Source organism: Homo sapiens, chromosome 2 (genome assembly GCF_000001405.40).
Source record: "Homo sapiens chromosome 2, GRCh38.p14 Primary Assembly".
Lineage (NCBI taxonomy): Eukaryota > Metazoa > Chordata > Mammalia > Primates > Hominidae > Homo > Homo sapiens.
In genome coordinates, this window is record NC_000002.12 from 57,155,177 (window position 1) to 57,161,690 (window position 6,514).

The window sequence follows — 6,514 nt, forward strand, 5'->3', positions numbered from 1 at the left end:
TGAGAGCAATAGCAACAGAAGAAGGGAGAGAGGTTCCAGGTATTTAAGCAACCAGGTTTCACAAGAACTGAGAGAGAACTCACTTATTACCAAGGTGATGGTGCTAAACCATTCGTGAGAGACCCACATCCATGATCCAATCATCACCCACCACACCCCACCTCCAAAACTGGGACTCCCATTTTAACATGAGATTTGGAGGGCACAAGCATCCAAACCATATTATTCTATCCCTGCCTCCCCAAATCTCATGTCCTTCTCACATTTCAAAATACAATCATGCCTTTGCAATAACCCCAAAAGTCTTAATTTGTTCCAGCATTAACTCCAAAGTCCCAAGTCTCAAGTACCAAGTCCAAAGTCTCATTTGGAGATGTGTTCCTTCCACCTGTGAGCCCGTGAGATTAAATACAAGTTATTTTCTGTCAAGATACAATGGTGATACAAGCTTTGTATATATATTCCCATTCCAAATAGGAGAAATTGACCAAACGAAAGGGTCTACAGGCTCCACTCAAGTCTAAAACTTAGTGGAGCAGTCATTAAATCTTAAAGCTCCAAAATAATCTCATTTGACTCCATGTCCTGCATCCAAGGTATACTAGAGCAAGGGGTGGGTTCCCAAGTCCTTGGGTTGTTCTGTCCCTGTGGCTTTGCAGGGTGCAGGCCCTGTGGCTGCTCTCACAGGTTGGAGTTGAGTGCTTGTGGCTTTCCCAGGCTCAGGATTAAAGCTCCCAGTAGATCTATCATTTTCAGGTCTGGATGATGGAGGCCTCCTTCCCACAGCTCCACTAGGCAGTGCCCTGGTGTGGACTTTGTCTGGGGGGCTCCAATCCCACATTTCCCCTCAGCACTACCCTAGTAGAGGTTTTCTGTGAGGGTTCTGCCCCTGTAGCAGGTGTCTGCCTGAGCACCCAGGCTTTCTCATACATGCTTTAAAATCTAAAGGGAAGATGCCAAGCCTCCTTCACTATTGCATTATATGCACCCACAGACTTAAAACCACATGGAAGCCACCAGTGCTTATTGTGGCCTATGCTCTCCAAAGCAGTGACCCAAGTAGTATCTGGGTCCAATCAAGCTGGAGCTGTAGGTAGAGCAGCCAGGATTCTAGGAGCAGTGTCCTGGGCTTGCCCAGGGCAGCGGGCCATGGGTCTGTCAAAGAAACCATTTTTTTCTCCTAGGTCTCTAGTCTGTAATGAGATGCCCTGTGTGAGAGATTTCTGAAATGCCTTTGAAACCTTTTCCCCATTGTCTTAGATAGTAGCACTTGGCTCCCTTTTAGTCATGCTAATCTCTCTAGCAAATGGCTGCCTGGGCAGCTTGCTTGTATTTCTCTCCAGAAAGTGTCTTTTCCTCTTCTATCACATGGGCAGGCTGCAAATTTTTCAAATTTTGACACTCCACTTCTCTTTTAAATATGAGTTTCAACTTTAAGCCATTCCTTTGCTCCCACATATGATCTTAGGCTATTAGAAGCAGCTATGCTCACTTATTGAACTCTTTGCTACAGGAATTTCTTTCACCAGATACCTTACGTCATCATTCTTCACTTCAAACTTTCTTAAAGCCCTAGGACATGGATGCAGTGCAGCCAAGTTTTTTGCTAGGGAATAACAAGGGTGACCTTTATGCAAGTTCCTGATAAGTTTCTCATTTCCATCTGAGATCTCCTTAGTCTGATATTGCTGCCCATATCTCTATCAGCATTTTTATCTCAAACATTTAACAAGTCTCTGTGAAGTTCCAGACTTTCTCTCATCATTCTATCTTCTTCTGAGCCATCCAAACTCTACCAACCTCTGTCCATTACCGAGTTCTAAATCTGCTTCTACATATTTAGTTATCTTTGTAGCAATGCCCCACTCTTGGGTACAAATTTTCTGTTTTAGGCTGTTTTTACATTGTGTGAAGAAATATCTGAGGCTGGCTAATTTATACAGAAAAAAAGGTTTAATTGGCTCACAGTTCTGCTGGTTATACAAGAAGCATGGTGCCAGCATCTGGTGAAAGCCAGCCTGAGGAAGCTTTCAACCATGTGAGAAGGCAAAGAGGAAGCAGGCACCTCACACGGTGAGAACGGGAGCAAGAGAAAGGAGGTTGGGGAGAGGTCCCAGACCTTTAAACAACCAGATCCTGTGCGAATTGAATGAGAACTCACTTATCACCAAAGTAATGGTGATAAACCATTCCTGAGGGATCTGCCTCCATGATCCAGTTACCTTCCATCAGGTCCCACCTCCAACACTGGGAATCACATTTTAACATGAGATTTGGAGGGGACAAATGTCCAAACCATTTCACTCCTATTCTTAAAATAAAAACAACGAAAAACTAGACTAGCTACACATTCATAATTTTCTTGAACACTCCATAGATTTGAGTTTATAGGTCAACCAAATAACTAAAAATTTAACAAAAACAAGTTTCTTCTGGAAAAATGAGATTCAGGCACTTGCTTACCTGAGGAAGATGCTATTGCACACTGGTAAGATTAGTCTGGATAAATTGTTTAATGGAATGCTAAAGCCTGAGTATGGGATAGCAGAGAATGTAGAACTCCTGGTGGGTGCAGTCTGAGAGAAGACTTTTCTCTCACTCACAGGATTTTTTCCATAGAACTCAATAGCCTCACCAAAAAGATTGTTGAGCATCCTAAAATGTCTCCCTTGTGGTGCTATTCTGGGTTAAAGGAGACTCAGCAACTGCAGTAAAGATCCAAAACAAGCTTCAAATTCCTTCCCCCACACCCCTACTCCTCGTTTGTTGTTGTTGTTGTTGTTTGTTTTTCTACAGGAAATAAAAAAGCCTTAAGCTGTTGGTGAAGAGCACTATACAGCATTTTTCTTAGAGAAATGGTGAAAATTTATTGTATCTGAGAGAGGGAGACAGAAAAATCACTCCAACGTAGAGGAAGTGGCAAAAATGTGCTGTGATTAGAGTCTCCTCCAGTTGAGGGAGGAGCGTGGTCATTAGAAGGCTTTAACCCTGAAAGCCGGGAAACACAGTATTTGCCTAGAATGAAAGCTTAATCAGAACCACAGTGAATGCCTTCCCCAAGCCTCCAACTACCAACAGGTTAGCAAGCATCAAATAATAAGGAACAGCAGAATACTGCTGGGGAAGGAGCAAGAGCATAGAGAGAGATCTGCTTTGAGGCACAGCATGGAGGGAAGACCTAAAGGTGAAGGTAGGAAGGTCACATTCAAGGAATTTGAAACAGGTGGTTCACCAGAGGGTAACTATAACAACCACAAATCCCAAACCCAGCTGATTAAAAACTGGATTGACTCAATGCTCTGAACTAAAGGCAAAGCAGGAGAAAAGTAATGTCCAGTTAAACAAACAAACAAACAAACAACTTATTTGCCTCAGAATCAATACAGATTTCTAACTTTCAAAAAAAACTATGTGCCATATAAAAATACAAAACCCATACTCTTAAGAGAAGCAGAAGTCAACAGAAATTTAAATCATCCATCAGAAAGTATTGAGTTGTTTAGACACTATAAGAACCTTGGACTTTCTTGTTTCTCATTCTACACCACATTTATTAGATAGTGGAAATTAGAATTAGGAAAGTTAACAGAGGCTAATAGGCTAGTTAACAGGGAGTAAAATGTTTGATTGTCATAATCTAAATCTTGTGTCAAGAGAACATTCAATTATAGGCATTAGTTTCCATTTAGAAGTATGTAACACATTTCTGAGACATTGGCATTTTAAATGATTATATACTTAGGTACTTAAATAGGCTATCTAAAATACGTAATTATAAGGATAGCTACCTCCCTCATTGATGATGGATTAATTCTTTCTGTCCCTTTGATTGCCCTTTAAATCTCATATGCAATAAATTGTAGTAATTATTTGTGATGGCAAACTCACTTTTGCCCTGGCATAGTCCATTTTAATTTATCTAGTTAATTGTTTAAAATAATGTAATAAGCACCTTCAAACATACTAACCAAAACATAGCTCTTTTCCATGAGATTTGCTACTGATTAGCTTAATACTAATCATCCAAATGGATGTTTTATGAGGTTGCTGACTTCTATCAGCATAATTGTAATGGTTTAGAAGAAATTTTTCTTTTTCAGACTGATAATGTTTTCTTCTTAAAAACTGAAAACTTCCCAACATAGTGACATGACTTCTTTGCAATTATTTTTAAACTATTGCTATTTTTTAACTAAATGGCAACACCATGATAATGTTAGAGATTTTAACTTTATACACATAGAGATTTATAAATAACCACATTGGTTACTGCTGTTTAACATATTATATAACTTGTTGACTGGCATAAAGTCTTCAAATGCAGGAGATAAAAATTGTAATGATCAAATGAGACGTTTTCCTAGTTAAGGATTTAAAAATTATCTAAATTGTTTCAATTTTTTATATTAATGAATTTGGTGATAGATATGTTTCACTTAGTGCTTATTTTATCTTTTCTACTAAAACATTCAATGCTCATATTTTCCTCTAAAATGTAATAACAAAACTTTCCCTTGGGTTATCATTTCATCTTATTGTTAAAGAAGCTGGAAAGTGACACTAAAATAAACCAATAAAAGCAAAATAGATTGTAAATAATATGTTCTTTAAAACGTATTTTTATCATTTCCCAACTCCAACTTTTCATCCTCTTTTTTTGTTTTTTTTTTTTAAATTGTGGCTCCAGCAGTAGTTCAATTTCAGAATCAATTTCATAATATATGTTTTAATATAAACTCAGTCTTAGAAACCACTGTATTTAAAAGTAACCTAGAATAGGTTAGGTGTATATTGGATAATATTTCAGATTCATTTAACCCTTCCCTATCCTTCCAAGGTTGACTGAGGCTGTGTCAGCTACTTCTATGACATAATGGACAGTGATACAATCTATTAGACAAGTTAGCCTGTAAAATAAGGTGTGAAAAATATATCAACAACTTATCTGGTGACATTCAGAGATAAGTGTTGTTGCAGTGTGTAACAAGGAATATGAAGTGGATAATATTTTGATGAGCATAAATAAATTTTTTAAAGTTTTATAAGTGTTTATCTTGGTATAATTTGATCACTCTATTTTCTCGGTCATGACAGGTACTTTTCATGCTTAACCAGTACGTTATAGAGGTATATAGTAACTATATAAGCAAACAAAAGGGGAGGAACTAGTTTGGCTTTCACAAGGGAGAATCAGAAGATATATCAGAGAAGTGTGATCCTCAGTTTGGTTATAAAAGGTGAGTATAATGGCAATAGATTGAGATAAAAAGAAACAAATGTGCAAAATCCCAGTAGAACACAAGAACATGGTATATTTGGAAAACAACGAGAATTTCAGTAAAGGTTTATAATATATCTCTGCTAGACATGCTGCATGGCCACTCCAAAGACCCTTCTACTCTGATAGAGTGTCCCTAAATTATCAGTAGAATTGAGTTGACAGCCACTGCAGGCACTATCTGTGAACGCACGTATCTCCCAAAGGCATATATCACACAAACGGGAGTATCAGCTGCATCTGATGCCCTCACTGGGGATAATTTGAGTGACCTGTAGGTGAGACCAATAAGAGAAAGAACATTATTCTGGTTGCAGATCCAGAATAATACAGAAACTGTAGTGCACATCCAAAGCATGGTTAAATTAAATTGTCAACTCAACCTCCTGCTACCTCTCAACTGTATGCTAAGAATAATTGTCAGGCCCTGGGATTTAATTTTACCCTCCTTGTGAACAAGTTAGCCTGTTGTTACTGTTTCATGGATGCTGGCAGTAGACATGAGACTCCTGGGTGAGAGGTAAAGAGAATTTCATTACTCATGGCAGGATGAACATCATGTTTACATTATTTCTTCTTGTTCCACTGGTTCAATGGGGCTAATGCAGAGGGCCCAGATGGTTGCTGCACATGCAGTGGGTTGCATTACAGGAGAATAGTGAGCATCGATAATTGACTAACCTATAGTAAGCAATAAGCAAGCACACACTGTTCTAGAGGGAGACATGATCTCATACCTCATGGTTACTCATTGTAAACACAACTCTGGCAAAGGAAAAGAGCTGTCAGGGCCTTGCATGTTTGGTGTACCCACTAAGACTGAGGAGTATGAGACTTCGTGGAGGACTGTTACCCAGCAAAAACATAGATGAGATTGTTGAAGTAAGTTCACATCTGAAAGGTTATTCCATATAAGACTGTCCTGCTTTCACTCATGTGTTCACTTCGTCGTGTTATCAGTGCCCTACTTTTATTTATGTATTCACTTCTTTATTTATGGGGAAATAAAATTTCGCTGTATTTTTTTTAGCGTTCCTGTAGAAATCTTTAGCCTCCTGAGACACAGGAACATTCCATTCTTCACATACATAAGAATTTGATCTCTAGCTATTTGTCTACTTAATGGTCCTGATATGAAAGTATAATAAAACTAATATTTCCTCAAGAGGACCAAATGGTTATATCCTGTAATAGTTCCCTAGATTAAGCTTCAGGATGTCAAGGAGACTGGAGCAT

General features: G+C 38.5%; 1 annotated feature.

Moving 5' to 3' along the window:
• Positions 1,014-1,669: an enhancer, noted in NCBI's record as "OCT4-NANOG-H3K27ac hESC enhancer chr2:57383325-57383980 (GRCh37/hg19 assembly coordinates)". NCBI's record gives its function as "activates a minimal SCP1, AML or CMV promoter by ChIP-STARR-seq in naive H9 embryonic stem cells {active_cell/tissue: H9 hESC(naive)}" and the evidence as "EXISTENCE:reporter gene assay evidence [ECO:0000049][PMID:30033119]".